This window comes from Homo sapiens, chromosome 9, assembly GCF_000001405.40.
Source record: "Homo sapiens chromosome 9, GRCh38.p14 Primary Assembly".
Taxonomy (NCBI): domain Eukaryota; kingdom Metazoa; phylum Chordata; class Mammalia; order Primates; family Hominidae; genus Homo; species Homo sapiens.
This window is the reverse complement of record NC_000009.12, coordinates 128,131,968-128,147,330: the sequence shown is the minus strand read 5'-3', so window position 1 is coordinate 128,147,330 and position 15,363 is coordinate 128,131,968. Positions and strand designations below refer to the sequence as shown.

Genomic DNA, 15,363 nt, shown 5'->3' with positions numbered 1-15,363 from the left:
TGGGGTGATGCATGCCTATGATCCCAACTACTCAGGAGGCTGAGGCAGGAGAATGGCTTGAACCCGGGAGGCGGAGGCTGCAGTGAGCCAAGATCGCACCACTGCACTCCAGCCTGGGAGACAGAGTGAGACCCTGTCTGAAAAAAGAAAAAAAAAACCACGTATCCTCGGGGAGGCTGAGGTGGGAGGATCACTTGGGCCCAGGAAGCCGAGGCTGCAGTGAGCTATGATTGTGCCACTGCACTCCAGCCTGGATGATAGAGTGACCTAAATCTAAAAAGTACCCTCTAGTCTACGGTGACTGCTTCACGTAGCTGAGACCAGCGGGTGGAGCCCCAGAGAATTTGAAGTTGGGGGTGAGGCAGTGTCATGGATCTCTGAGGACCCAGGACTCCAGGGTATGAATGTGGTGGGTGAGCAGGGCACTGGGTCCACAGTGGGAAGACACCAGAGCCAGGTGCAGAAGGGGAGATAGTCCCGCTTGGGGGTCCCCCAGGCTGGCTTGAAGCCTGGCTCCTCCGCATGCATGCAGATCTCTGCCTAGCTCCCACACAAATCAGGCGCTCCTCTGTAGAGAGGGCAGCTCTGCGCTTCTGTGAGGTCATGCATGGACAGCACCGGGCCCCAGGGTGTCCCTACACAAGGCTGAGTTTCTGATCAAACCCATGCAGGGCTCATTCCTCTCTCTGCACCAGCTCCAGACCTGTCTCCTACCCACTGGCCTTGGCTCTCTTCAGAGTCTAGCAGGGCTGCAGGGAGGGGGTCAGCTCTACATAGACCCACCACACAAGCTTCAGGACTCAGCACTAGGAAGGTTGGGTAAGGACTGTGGTGTAGACCTCCCATTCAGACTTGACCGACTCCAAGGGCTCCAGGGTCAACAGGACACTGGGGCCCCATTCCTCACCCACCCCCTTTCCACTGGGCCCCATTCATTGGGCCCTAGCCAATGAGGGTACACAAGTGTTCACACTGCTCAGCGCTTGGGGGAGTCCCTGGACCCCGGGGCTCTTGGGACAATCTCCACGACACGTGTGGCACTGTGCATGGCATGACAGGCACCCACCTGCCTCCCCTCGGCCCCTCCTATGGTTTCCACCGTGGCCCCTGGACTGGGCCTGCTTTCTCTCAAGGAGCTGCAGGTGCCTCTAGTGAGCCCTCAACGAGCCACACAGAAGCAATGGGGCCAAGCCCCTCCTGAGAGGAGCTGGGCTGGGCTCCCAAGTCCTGCTGTGCAGGTCGGCTTAGCAACAGCAGGAGCTTAAAGACAGGTCCCTGCCTGGGTTTTCCGTGGCCAGAGACCAGAAGTACTCCGGCTGCTCCCGACCTCCCCTCGCAGTCTCTGGCAGGCAGCTGTCCCCACTCTCCACGCCCAAGAGTGGGTGCTCCCTGGAGACTGCAGCAGCCTGTCCTCCCATGGAGAGGCCCAGGTCTCATCCATGCATGAAGGCAGCAAGATGCTTCCTGGCGGTCCTTACATCTCAGGAATCCAGTCTGACTCCCCATTCTGGTTTCCGGATCTTGTGAGTAGTGTTCAGCGTGGCCATGAATGGTTAACCCTCTGACGTGTTTGAAGGCTGGGCAGGAGGTGACTGGCTAGGCTTCTAGGAGCCAGGTACCACACCTGGAAGGAGTCTACAGTCAAGATGCCCCCAGGAGGCCCAGTCACAGATGCAGGAAGTCTTGGTGTCTGCAGATCAGCTCTCCTTGGTCACGGCAGGTCCGGGCTGGGCACCCGACTCTCAAACACCCAGGAACGGGAGGGGCTGTTTAGTGTGAGGAGCTTGCCCTGCCAGGGTCTTGGGCTGAGTCTCCTGTTTCCAGAAACAGTTTTCCAACCCCCATCCTCTCTCATGCCAAGGCTCGCCAAGGGGCCTTGAGGTCCTCCTGCCCCTTCTACCTGACAGGGACCCTGCCCGCCTGTGAAAATCCCCTCCCAACCCTCCCCCAAGTACACCCACTGGATTCCTCCCTCTGGTGAACCCCTGGGGTCCACCAGACAGGGGGAAGCGGGCCCTGCTGCTTGAGGTCTAGGCCCAGGGCCCTTGCTGGTTCCATCCCTTGGTGCCTGGCCCAGGCATGCTGCTTAGATGGGTGCTCTGCCTTTTACTCCAGAGCCTGGACTCCTATGCGGGCAAGAGGGCCCACAATGATCATAGGTGGCAGCGGAGTGGACGTCAAGGCTCTGAGCAGGGTCTAGGGTGGACACAGGCAGCGGCAGGCAGTGGTGGATGCCAGGCTCCCATGGAGCTGGGCCGCAGTCCCTCTGTCATAGGCCTCTGTCCCACATGGTCCTGGTGCTGCTCAAAACCAATGCTCCTCCCAGCTCTGCACCCCTCCTGCCCGGACTGCAGCCCCCAGCACCCCAGGAAAGGGGCATCTCCACTGCGGCCACCCCTGCGTTACCCCACATGCTCCCGTGCTCCCTGCTCTCCAGGTCCTTGGCTGGGCCTCCGCTGGCACCATCAGAGGTGGCTGGGTGAGAGGACCGGTCTGGCTCTCCTGAAAGCTGGTTCTCCCGAGAGCCCAGGACAGTCCAGGAGCGTGCCCAGCCCAGGGGGCAGGGTAATAGGTTCCGGAAGGGTCAAATGAGACCAAATGTCCCTGAAGACATCCCTGGCTTCAGAACCACAACACACAGCCTCCTGCCTGGAGCCCCTCTGGTGCCCTGCGGGGGCTGAGGATGGAACAGGCTGCAGCCTCTATGCCCTCCACTTCATCCCAGTGGTGGATGGACATCGCAGACCCAGCCCCCACTCCTCCTTGGCAGCACGTGTTTATTTCAGCTGAGGGGGTGGGTTCCATGGCTGAGCCTCCCTCTTTGGGGGAGGGGGACATGAACAAGGCTGTGACAGGCAGCGAGGACCAGATCTCGCTCCAAAGGGAAAGCGTGTCCACCTTCAAAAGGAGGGGACAACTTGGACCAGTGCAGAGTTGGGTGAGGGGAAGGGAGGGCAGTGCCAGCGGCAGAGCAGCAGGAGATGCCGAGAACACCCAGAGACCTTGGCCTTCACCTGGCCACTGTCCTTCTCAGCCCGATTCTCAGAGGGCCCAGGTCAGAGGTCTGAGGGGGAAGTGTGAGTTTCTGGGTACAAAGTTTGGTGGCCCAGACCTTGGGCCGGAGGGAGGACCACTCCCTGCCCTGTCCTGTGACTCTCAGAATCACCTGTCAGGAGGGGGAGCCCTCTGCATTGCCATGATGGGCAGGCCCAAGGCTGCAGGGCACAGGTCTGGGTGCCTCTCCCTGGGCCCAGACTCCCTCAGGCCTTGGGTGGGCACTGGCCTCTCCCAGGTCACTGCAGTCCCAAGCGCCCCTCCCTGGGAGCTCAGCCTGGATCTGCCCCAACTGAAGCGTCTCGTGGTTCTCCAGGTTCTGCCTACAATCCGAGGTCCCCCTGTCCTGGGCCACCTCCCCACACCACTGGGTCCCACCTCTTCCTGACACTCTTGGGTCCCCTGTCCTGAACTACCTCCTCCCACACTGCTGGGTTCCCTTGATTCAGGTCCCTTCCTTCCCATACCTCCGGGGCCCCTGGCTTGGCCACCTCTTCCCCACATCCGCAGGCCACACCCTTGGCTTTCTCTCAAGAGTTCACTTTCTTAACAGTGAATTTCCTATTGTTAGCATCTTCTGCAATCTAGAGAAGCTGAGAATTTCCCAAATCATCAAATTACTACAGCAAATTACCACAAAGTTGCAGTGAGCTGTTATCACACCACTGCACTCCAGCCTCAGTGACAGAGCGAGACCCTATCTCAAACAAACAAACAAACAAACAACATCCAAAAGGAATGAGAAAATTCTTGCCCTTCAGGAGAGGAAAAACATCTGGGCCACACCACCACCACCAACAACAAAAAATAGCTTATGTGTCATTTGCCTTTGAGTAATATACATACGTCATTCATTCACCTTAAAAATCAGGCATTAGGTACTGTAACAAATGTGCACCAAGAAAAGAACAGGCATTAGGATGTTAACCATTATGAAATTAAAAAAAATAATAAAGAATAAGATCCTTAATCATTTGCAAATACTTTTTTTTTTTTTTTTTTTTTGAGACGGAGTCTCGCTGTTAGCTAGGCTGCAATGGCGCGATCTTGCCTCACTGCAATCTCCGCTTCCTGGTTCAAGCGATTCTCCCACCTCAGCCTCCCGAGTAGCTGGGACTACAGGTGTGTGCCACCATGCTTGGCTAATTTTTGTATTTTTAGTAGAGATGCACTTTCACCATGTTGGCCAAGCTGGTCTCGAACTCCTGGCCTCAAGTGATCTGCCCACCTCAGCCTCCCAAACAAAGTGCTGGGATTACAGGTATGAGCCACCATGCCCAGCCTTTGAAACCTTTTTCTACATAAAGTTACATTTACATTATTCATTTACATGGATATATTTTGGGGGCCATTTTGCAGCCAGCATAGTCTCCTTGACCCCATAGACCCCTTCTCCCCACACCCCAGATTCCTCTTGTCCTGGGCCACCTGCACTACAGACCTCTTCACAAAGGGACTTGGACTCTTCTCAGGAGGGGACCCGGGTCATGGGCAGCCCCGCCTGTGTAGACAGCTGCAGCTGGGCTGCTCAGAGAGCCCCCAGCCCAGGGCTGAAGAGCTTCAGGGCTCAGCTGTGTCCCAGGCAGGTGCTGGGGCTGGGGGGTGGGAGCCTGGCCCTTCTCCCTCCCACTGTCTCCTTCTCTTCTTTTTTTTTTTTTTTTTTTTTTGAGACTGAGTCTAGCTGTGTTGCCCAGGCTGGAGTGCAATGGCGTGACCTCAGCTCACTGCAACGTCCGCCCAGATTCAAGCAATTCTCGTGCCTCAGCCTTCCTGAGTAGGTGGGATTACAGGTGCATTCCACCACGCCCGGCTAATTTTTGTGTTTTTGGAAGAGCTGGGCATTGTACCATGTTGGCCAGGCTGGTCTCCAACTCCTGACCTCAAGTGATCCTCCTTCCTCCACCTCCCAAAGTGCTGGGATTATAGGCATGAGCCACCGTGCACAGCCTGTCTCCTCCTCTTCCTGCCTCCCCACACCCTGCCTCATCCCCTTCCTGTGTAGCTCAGGGTACATACAGGCACCGAAGTGCACATCCAATGTGTCCCCGCCTACTAAATGTGCTGTGAGCATTACAAGCCACCCAGAGGGCCTTGCCTCCTAAGCAAAGGCCTCAAAGGTCCTTCCTTCCTGACCTGAGTCTCTCTCCTTCTAACTAATTATCCTCACTAGGAGCAGGCACTAGGAGAGAGCCGCTTCTCTGCCTCCTGCCCAAAGAGGGCCATTTCAGAGAACCACAGTAGAGGAGGAGCTGACTGCCAGCCTTGGAGCTTGTGGACTGGGGTCCAACTATTGCCAAGAAAAGTCTAAAGGTGAGGGATGGGCTGGATCTGCTCTTGCTGGTCAGTGGAGAGGAGGCTGCCCAAGGTCTACCACTCCCCAAGGGCAGGCAGGGGTGTCTGGTCTTCCTGTGGCCCAAGCGAACCTTGGGGAAGATCCATTCAAAAGCAATCCTGGCTGAACAGGAGTCTGGAAACTTTGAAGACCTCCTTCTACCAGACAACAGGATCCAGTAAGAAACAGACTCTGAGGCCGGGCATGGTGGCTCATGCTTGTAATCCCAACACTTTGGGAGGCTGAGGCAGGCGGATCACCTGAGGTCAGAAGTTCCAAGACCAGCATGGCCAACATGGTGAAACCCCATCTCTACTAAAAATACAAAAATTGGCTGGGTGTCATGGTGCACACCTGTAATCCTAGCTACTCAGGAGGCTGAGGCAAGAGAATCACTTGAACTCGGGAGGCGGAGGTTGCCGTGAGCCAAGATCGTGCCACTGCACTCCAGCCTGGGTGACACAGCAAGACCCTGTCTCAAAAAATCATAAAATAAAATATGTTTAAAAAGAAGGAAAGAAAGAAAACAATCAGGAGAAGAAATCAAGAAGAGAGAAAGATCTTCCTATTTTATGGGACTATCGAAGCCAAAAGTTGACTCTTGGAAAAGACTAATCGAATAGAAATTTGGAGAAATTTCTCATGACAAAAAGATATAAGACACAAATAAACAACCATAGAAATAAAAAAGGAGGCCGGACGCCATGGCTGACTCCTGTAATCCCAGCACTTTGGGAGGCCGAGGTGGGTGGATCACAGGGTCAGGAGATCGAGACCATCCTGGCTAACACGGTGAAACCCCGTCTCTACTAAAAATACAAAAAATCAGCTGGGCGTGGTCGCGGGCGCCTGTAGTCCCAGCTACTGGGGAGGCTGAGGCAGAAGAATGGCGTGAACCCGGGAGGCGGAACTTGCAGTAAGCTGAGATCGCGACACTGCACTCCAGCCTGGGCGACAGGGCCAGACTCCATCTCAAAAAAAAAAAAAAAAAAAAAAAAAGAAATAAAAAGGGAGCAGAACTATAGAGTTCTAGAGCTATTAAAAAGGTAACGAAAGAATGCAATAAATAAGGAAATGGGAAATTTCCCAGAAAACTATAACTTACAAAAGAGATTCAAGAAGAAAAAAAACATCTGACTTCTGGCAGCCCCAGCCCTGGGGCTACCCGATCTGACAAAGCCTTTTCCATTGTATGCGTCAGAGAGAGAAAAGATGGCAGCTGGACTTTTAACCCAAACTGTGGGGCCCTGGCTGAGGCCGGTGGCCTAAGTCTCTAAACAACTAGACAGGGTTTCTAAAGGATGGCCCCCCTGTTTGAGGGCCTTGGCAGAACTGCCCTGCTAGTACAAGAAGTAAATAAGCTGACTCTTGGGCAAAACCTGAACATAAAGGCCCCCCATGCTGTGGTGACTGAGAGCCAGCCCCTCTTCCCCCGCTGGCTCTTAGGATCCGCGGTGGACTCACAGCCTGTTTACCATATTGTGAGTAAGATCATCTCCCCCTCTGGAGATTATGAACTGTTTCACAGACGGGTGTACACCCTCGGTGTACAGAGGGTGTACACCCGTCTGTATTGGGAGTAATATCATCCTCTTCCTCCCTGAATATTAAGAACAGTATCACAGGGGTGTTTCTACTCCCTGCGATATCGCGTGTCATATCCTCCTCTCCCACGTTGCAATTAGAAACAATATGAGTGGGGGCGTGTCCACCTTCTGTCATATTGACAGTCATATCATCTTCTTCCCTCCAGCATCGTGGGAGCAATATCCCTGGGGGGTGTCCACTTTCTGCCATCTGTGTAGTCATATCACCCCCTCCGCCTTGGAATATTATTAAGGACCATCTCACACGGGGGTGTATACTTCCTGCGATATTGGGAGTAATACCAACCTCTCGGCCTCTGAATATTAGGAAGAATATCACAGGGTGGGTGTACACATCGTGCTCTATTATGGGGAGTCATATCTGTCTATTATGGGGAATAAGAGCATCCTCTCCCTTTCAGGATATCAAGGACAATTTCCCATGCTGGGTGAACAGCCTGCGATGCTGGAATTATTACCACCCTCTCCGCCTCTTCCCCCCCTGGCCCTTAGGACCCCCATCGCAGGGTGGGGAGGCACCCACCGCGACGCAGGGACTGAGAGCCAGCCCCTCTTACCGCCTGGCTCTTAGGACTCCCATCGCAGGGGGGGGAGGCAACCCCCGCGAGTTGGGGACTGGGAGCCAGCCCCTCTTCCCCCGCTGGCTCTATGGAATCCCATAGCCGGGGGGTGAGGCACCCCCCGCGAGGCGGGGACTGACAGCCAGCCCCTCTTCCCCCCTGGCTCTTACGATCCCCCATCGCGGTTGGTGGGGAGGCAACCCCCGTGAGGCGGGGACTGAGAGCCAGCCCCTCTTCCCCCCTTGGCTCTTAGCACCCCCATCGCAGTGGGGGGAGGCACCAGCCGCGAGGCGTGGACTGAGAGCCAGCCCCTCTACCCCACCTGGCTCTTAGTACTCCCATCGCAGGGTGGGGAGGCACCCCCCGCTAGGCGGGAACTGACAGCCAGCCCCTCTTACCCCCCTGGCTCTAAGGACCCCCATCGCAGGGGGGAAGGCACCCACGGCGAGGCGGGGACTGTGAGCCAGCCCCTCTTCCCCCTCTAGCTCTTAGGACCCCCGTAGCAGTGGGGGGAGGCACCCCCCGCGAGGCGGGGACTCAGAGCCAGCCCTTCTTTCCCCCCGGGCTCTTAGGACCCCCATTGCAGTAGGGGGAGGCACCTCACGCGAGGCGGGGACTGAGAGGCTGCCCCTCTTCCCCCCCTGGCTCTTGAGACCCCCATCGGAGGGCGGGGGAGGCACTCCCCGGGAGTCGGCGACTGAGAGCCAGCCCCTCTTCCCCTCCTGGCTCTTAGGACGCCATCGCAGCGGGGAGGCACCCCCAGCATGGCGGGGACTGAGAGCAAGCCCCTCTTCCCCTCCTGGCTCTTGGGACCACCGTCGTGGGGGGGGAGGAACCCCCCGCGAGGCGGGGACTGAGAGCCAGCCCCTCTTACCCCCCCTGGCTCTTAGGACCCCCATCGCAGTGGGGGGAGGCACCCCCCACGAGGCGGGGACTGAGAGGCAGCCCCTCTTCCCCTCCTGGCTCTTAAGACCCCCATCGAAGGGGGTGATGCACCCCCCGCGAGGCGGGGACTGACAGCCAGCCCCTCTTCCCCCCCTGGCTCTTAGGACCCCCATCGCAGTGGGGGGATTCACCCCCCGCGAGGCGGAGACTGAGAGCCAGCCCCTCTTCCCCCGCTGGCACTTGGGACCCCGGTCGCAGGGGGGGAGGCACCCCCGCGAGGCGGTGCCTGAGAGCCAGCCCCTCTTCCCCCACTGGCTCTTAAGACCCCCATCGCAGGGGGGGCAGTCACCTCCCGCTAGGCGGGGACTGAGAGCCAGCCCCTCTTCTCCCCCTGGCTCTTGGGACCCCCATCACAGGCGGGGGAGTCACCCCCCGAGAGGCGGGGACTGAGAGCAAGCCCCTCTTCCCCCGCTGTCTCTTGGGACCCCCATCGCAGTGGGGGGAGGCATATTATCAAGGAGGGACCATGGCAGCCCCTGGAAGATTCTTTCCAATGCCCCATGCCTGGTGGTCTCGCTCTCCTGAGGGGTGGGAATGGAGGTTTTTCTGCTGCTCCACTGGCTGTTATCCCTCTGCCCTCTGGGCTGTGCTTGTAAGATCTGGAAGGCTTCCCTGGCATCAGAGTTCCCTAGGGACAGGATGCTGACAGGTGCACTGACCTTGGGCGGGGCCATGTTGCACCAGGAGGCTCTGAGCTGTCCAGAGAGTCCACAGCAGCTGTGGCTGAAGTTGGAGGTGGACTGGCAGAAAGTGACTTTTGGCACCTGAAGGGTCAGCCTCAGCGGTTTGGGGAAGGTTTCTCAACATCTTATACTCTCCATTTCAGCATCTATCACACAGGGGCTCCCAGGGAAGGGTGGCAGGGCCAGCAGTGGTAGCCTCTGGCCCCACCTGGACCTACAGAGTCAGAAATCTGCATTGAAGCCAACAGCCCAGGGCATTGTGATGCACACTAAAGCTCGGGAACCACTTACCTAGAACTGCTTCTCTTATTGTCATCCCTTTCTCTACAGTTAATCCTTGGGTGCATATTTATTGATGTCCACCATGAGAGCGGCTCTGTGCTGGGCCGCAGGGAGACAGAGGCAGGAGACAAAGTCCCTGTCCTCACAGCCCCACAGTGTTTGGGAGAGCAGGGAACACATGGGCTGTCCCTGTGTGGAAAGGGCTGTGAATGGGGAGCAGTGGTACCGGTGGTGCAGAGAAACAGGAGAGGCCCATTTCTGAGCCTCTACCACACACCAGCATCCTGAGAGGGGTGTGTAGCCAGGCGCTCCTTCAACTTCCTACCAGCTCTGCATAAGGGGCCCTGTGGTCCCGTCCCACAGCTCACCATTTTGATGCAGGGACCATGCAGCAGTCTCTGGATGAGGGAAGGTCTGAGCAGAGCTTTGGAGCGTGATGAGAAGTGACCCAGAAGATCCAGGGCACGGTAGAGGGAAGGGCTGTAAGAGGTAGGGCTGGGACCACTGGTGCTTTGTTGAGTCACTGCCCAGTCACGAGAAGCAGCCACCTCGTCATGTTGTGTGAAGACGAAATGAACTCTGATTGTGGTCAGCCACTGTCAGTTAGGCATGATTTAGTGGAAAAGTGAGCTCAGCCTGGTGGATTACAATACATACGGAACATTTATGAGGATCGATGTGTCCAAGACCACACCTCAGAGCCGTAAGAACCCAAACATGTCTGGTTGGACAGCTGCCTGGGTAATGGGCAGGGAGCTGGAAAGAAGGCATACCTGGGAGGTGGGCCCTCGGCTTAGCGTCGCACATGCTGAGCTGGTTAGGTTAAAGTCCTGTCCACAGAGAAGCAGCGAGCAGTGGTCTGCGTCTGGGATGCAGAAGACAGGTCTGGGAAGAACACCCAGGGGTGGGAGTTGCTGGTATGTGGATGGTGAGGTTGTCCAGGAGAAGAGGGTTTAGATACAAGCCCCCATGCACACCAGCACTTCATGGAAGGGCAGAGGAGAGCACCCACAAAAACAGCTCAGTGAGAGGAGCTGGAGAATACCTCATCAGAACACAGGCAAAAGAGCTCTTCCAGAAGCCTGTAGTCAACAGTACCAAATGCTGCCTGGGCAGGATGAGTGAGGAGCTTAAAAAGGGCCCTTGGTCTACATGAAGGGATATCCTAGTGGGAGTAGTCATTATTTACTTTTTACTTTTTTTTTTTTTTTGCTGTGGGCATAGCCAGAGATGAGGCCTTTATGGTGTGCAAGTGGCTGCGGCCTGTTGGCATGCTACAATATCATGACATCTGTGAGGGGACAGCCTTGAATAATTAAACACGTATAGCAGAGCTATGAAGACTATGAGCAAGGAGATAAAGGCCTGGGCTCAAGCTGAAATCCTCTACTTACCAGCTAGGTCACCTGGGCAAATTGCTTAAGCATTTTATGCCTCAGCTTTCTCATCTGTAAAATGGGATGATAATAGGACTGATTGCACAGGTTACTGAAAGATTAACTGAGCTAATACGCATCTAGTGTGCAGAGCAGTGTCTGCATGCAGTAAGTGGGCAAAGATGTTGGCGATCACCCTTTTATCTCGTAGAATTTCGCTGAGTTTGGGAGATGACATTTCTCAGTAAGACTCTATTGTTCCACAGGCTCCTTGTTAAGAATCACCAGCGGCACTTGCTAGAGACGTGGATTTCTGGGTTCTAGCCCAGATGTTCTGCCTGGATTCACAGGGAGATGATCCTGGGACTCTGGCTCCAGCAAGTCCCCAGGGGTTCTCATGCTTGGAGAAGGAGAGCAATTCTGCTGGAACAGAATGGGGCACATGTTATAAAAAAGACCTGTGCACAAGGGCCCTAGAGGCCAGATGGAGGTTGGGAGGCCTCATCAGAGGAAAGGCAGTATTGATGTGATTTAGTGAAAGGGAAAGGCTGTGCAGGAGTGATGTCAGCAGGACAGTGGCCTAGGGTGCTGTAGACCCTTGCTCCTCTGTGGAAGCACCAGGCGAGGGGCAATGCATGGCTCCAGGTCGCCTAGTGGGAACTCCAGGAACTGGTTAAGGATCTGCAGCAATCACGCCAACTCCCAATGAGGACAAAACCACACTCAAAGCAGCAGGAAATGTTGTGGCATTTGGCTCACCTCTGCCCCACCTCCTTCCCAGCACGGTCAGGAGGAGGCCACCCTACTCCTGGTACCTCCCTGGGGACACAAGGGAAAGACCGAAACATGTTTACAGGGTTCTGGCTTGTCTGCGGGCTGCCTGTGGAACTGGTTTCTGTCCCACGCATCTTGGAGTGTTGATGCGAAGGGCAGCCTGCTTGGGATATCAGGATGGAGACCCTGGGGGCAGTACTGACTGCTGCCATATGTCAGAGCTGCAGGGGGTACCAGGACAAGGATCAGGGGAAGAAATAAAGCAGAAAGTCGAAGGCTTTCAACAGATGCAAAAATGAGGGAGAAATTCAAACATTCCCAGATATACAGCATATAAAAATGTATGCCCACCATTGAGCACCTAAATATATAAAGTGAATGTTAGCAACCCTGAAGGGAAAAATTGACAGGAGTACAACAGCAGTAGGGAACTTCAGTACCCCACTCTCAATAATGGACTGACCGTCCAGACAGAAAATCAAGAGGAAACACTGGGCTTGAACTATACTTTCCACTAAATGGACCTAACAGTCATATACAGAACATAGCATCCAACAGCAGCAGATGGGGCATTCTTCTCAAGGGCTCACAGGGAATGTTTTCCAGGACATATCATATGTTAGGCCATAAAACTAGTCTTAACAAATTCAAGAAGATTGATATCACATCAAGGATCTTTTCCAGCCACAATGTTATGAAACTAGAAATCAATCAAAGGAGGAAACTGAAAAATTCACAAAAGTGGAAATGAAGCAAGAAGCTCCTGAATAATCAGTGGGTCAAAGAAGAAATCAAAAGGGAATTCAAAAAATATCTGGAAACAAATAAAAATGGAAATATCACACACCAAAGTTTATGGGATGCAGTGAAACCATTTCTAAGAGGAAAGTTTATATTGATAAATGTCTACATTAAGAATAAAGAAAGGTCAGAAATAAACAACTTGACTTTACCTCCAAAGGAACTAGAAAAAGAACAAACTAGGTCCAAGGTTAGCGGAAGAAAGACAAAAACAAAGATCAGAGCAGAAATAAATGGAATAAAGACTAGAAAATAATACAAAAGATTAAAGAAACTGAGAGTTGGGTTTTTGAAAAGATAAACAAAATTGAAACACCTTTAGCTAGACTAACTATGATAGAAGTCTCAAATAAAATCAGAAATGAAAGAGGGGACATTACAACTGATACCACATAAATGCAAAGTATGATAAGTGAACATTATAAACAATGATATGCCAATGAATTGAATAACATAGAAGAAATGGATAAATTTCTAGAAACATACAACCTACCAAGACTGAATTATGAAGAAATACAAAATTTGAACAGACCAATAAGAAGATTAAATCAGTAATCAAAAGGAGATTGGAGTAGCAATCAAAAATCTCCCAAGAAAGAAAAGCCTAGGACCTAATGGTTTTACTGGTGAATTCTACCAAATATTTAAAGAAAATATAATACTAATCCTTCTCAAACTTTTCCAAGACACTGAAGAGGAAGGACCACTTTAAAACTCATTCTATGAGGCCAGAATTACCCTGATACCCATGCCAGACAAAGACACTACAACAAAAGAAAACTGCAGACCGATGTCCCTAATGAATATTGTTGCGAAAATCCTCAACAAAATACTAGCAAACAATTCAACAGCACATTAAAATGATCATAGACCATGACCAGGTAGGATTTGTTCCCGGAATGCAAGGATAGTTTCTATGGCACTCCTTTTGGAAAACGGTATGGTAGTTCCTCAACAATTAAAAATAAAATTAGCATGTGATCCAGCAGTTTCACTCCTGGATGAGAATTCCATGAGAGAATTGAAAGCAGGGCGTTGAGAAGAGATATTTGTACACCTAAGTTCACAGCAGCATTTTTTTTTTTTACAATAAATAGCCAAAAGGCTATTTCCACCAGTTAGGTGGTGGAAATGGGGAGTTAGTGTGTAATGGGGACAGAGTTTCAGTTTTACAACATAAAAAGAATTCTGGAGATGGAAGGTAGTTATGGTTGCACAACAATGTGAATGTACTGAGGCCAATGAACTCTATATTGAGAATGGGTAAGATGATGAATTTAGTGTTATGTATATTTTACCACAATTTTAAAAAGTTACCCAAGTGCCCACTGATAAATGAATGAACAGAAGGTGGCATATACATTTTACGAAATATTATTCAGGTTTAGAAAGGAAGGAAATTCTGACATGCTACAACGTAGGTGAACCTTAAAGGTATTCTGTTAAGTGAAATACGCCAGTCACAAAAGGACGAATAGCTTTTTGTGATTCCACTTACATAAGATCTCTTCAGTAGTCAAATTCACAGAAACAGAGCTCAGGATGGTGGTTGCTAGGGGCTGGGGAAAAGGGAAATGGGGAGTTAGTGTGTAAAGGGGACAGAGTTTCAGTTTTACAAGATAAAAAGAGTTCTGGAGATGGAAAGGAGTTATGGTTGTACCACAATGTGAGTGTGCTTATGCCACTGACCTCTATATTGAGAATAAATGAAATGGTAAATTTCATGTTATGTGTATTTTACCACAATTTTTAAAAAGTGAAGAGCCTTGAAAATGGTGAGAATTTATTCAAAAGGCAATGGAGGGGTCTCCAGACATAAGGGAGAGTGTGACATGGCAGTAGGGGATTTGAAATGGCAATTCTGCGTGTGTAGAAAACATGACTTGGAGGAAGAAACCCGTGGGAGCAGGGAGCCCAGTCAGGAGTTAGCCTAGAGGTCAGTGGTTCTCAAACATTCAGATGCACCAGGATGGCTGGGGAGCTTGTTAGACGCAGGTATAGGTGCCCCAGGGACTTGCATTCAGTGGTTGTAGGGAGGACCTGGGAATGCACGATTCTGACAAGCTCCCAGGCGATGCTGATGCTGCTGGTCTAGGCACCCCAGTTTGGGAACTATTGGTCAAGGGAAAGGAGGGGGGTTATCAAGAGGTGCTGGAAGCGAATAGGGCAGCCAGCCCAGGGGCAGAAGGGTCATGCCCCTGACTATTCCCGGGGACCTGGACATCTGGCCTGGTCTGTTTATACTAGTGAGCTTCAAGGTTGACAAAAAGCCATATGAGGTGGATTTACTTACTACCCACTCACCAGAGCGACATCAATCCATAAACAACCCCAAATGATCCATTTCCTGGACACCCTAGGTTCAGCAAAACTTCCACCACCTGGCCTCTCTGAGAGGCTTCCTTATGCTTTATTAACCTCTTTTGTGGGCCTGGTGGGAGCAACTCTGACCTCAGGGATTGCTTTCTCGTCTATCATGTGACCTGGCATGATAGCAGTCTGCACCCTATGTGCTTCATGCCTTTGATGCTTTTGAGAGCTGAATGTAAGCGGCTGCCTTTAAAAACCCAGAGTTAATAATTCTCCAAGGCAGAAGCCAGGATTTGCACCCTGGGGAGGCCTGACTTCAGATTGGATGATTCCACAAAGCGTGCCGGGAAGCCTGTGCGACATCTGGTCCCTGGCAGGGTTTCCGGGAGATGTAGGCGACTGCTGCTTCCTCCTTTCCCATCCTGGAGACATGTTACGATTCCAATAACCTCTGCAGCTGCTGAGAAGATAGCAGACCGTGCTCTGGGGTCTTCCAACCTCAGAGCACACACTGGACAGGATATTGGAATGCCGGGGTTGTTAGGGCCAGTCCCGCCCCACCTGGGACCTGGTAACTTGGTCACACCAGTCTCCTCTGAGCATCTATAACGTGGGGTGGGGGTGGGGATAGGCTTTTTG

At 52.6% G+C, this 15,363-nt stretch overlaps 3 annotated features.

Annotated features, from left to right (window-relative positions):
* Window positions 658–1,157: an enhancer, noted in NCBI's record as "H3K4me1 hESC enhancer chr9:130908453-130908952 (GRCh37/hg19 assembly coordinates)". NCBI's record gives its function as "activates a minimal SCP1, AML or CMV promoter by ChIP-STARR-seq in naive H9 embryonic stem cells {active_cell/tissue: H9 hESC(naive)}" and the evidence as "EXISTENCE:reporter gene assay evidence [ECO:0000049][PMID:30033119]".
* Window positions 5,032–5,205: a transcriptional cis regulatory region, noted in NCBI's record as "candidate enhancer chr9.2942 targeted for multiplex CRISPR interference". NCBI's record gives its function as "positively regulates PTGES2 gene expression in K562 cells {active_cell/tissue: K562}" and the evidence as "EXISTENCE:mutant phenotype evidence [ECO:0000015][PMID:30612741]".
* Window positions 8,822–9,321: an enhancer, noted in NCBI's record as "H3K4me1 hESC enhancer chr9:130900289-130900788 (GRCh37/hg19 assembly coordinates)". NCBI's record gives its function as "activates a minimal SCP1, AML or CMV promoter by ChIP-STARR-seq in naive H9 embryonic stem cells {active_cell/tissue: H9 hESC(naive)}" and the evidence as "EXISTENCE:reporter gene assay evidence [ECO:0000049][PMID:30033119]".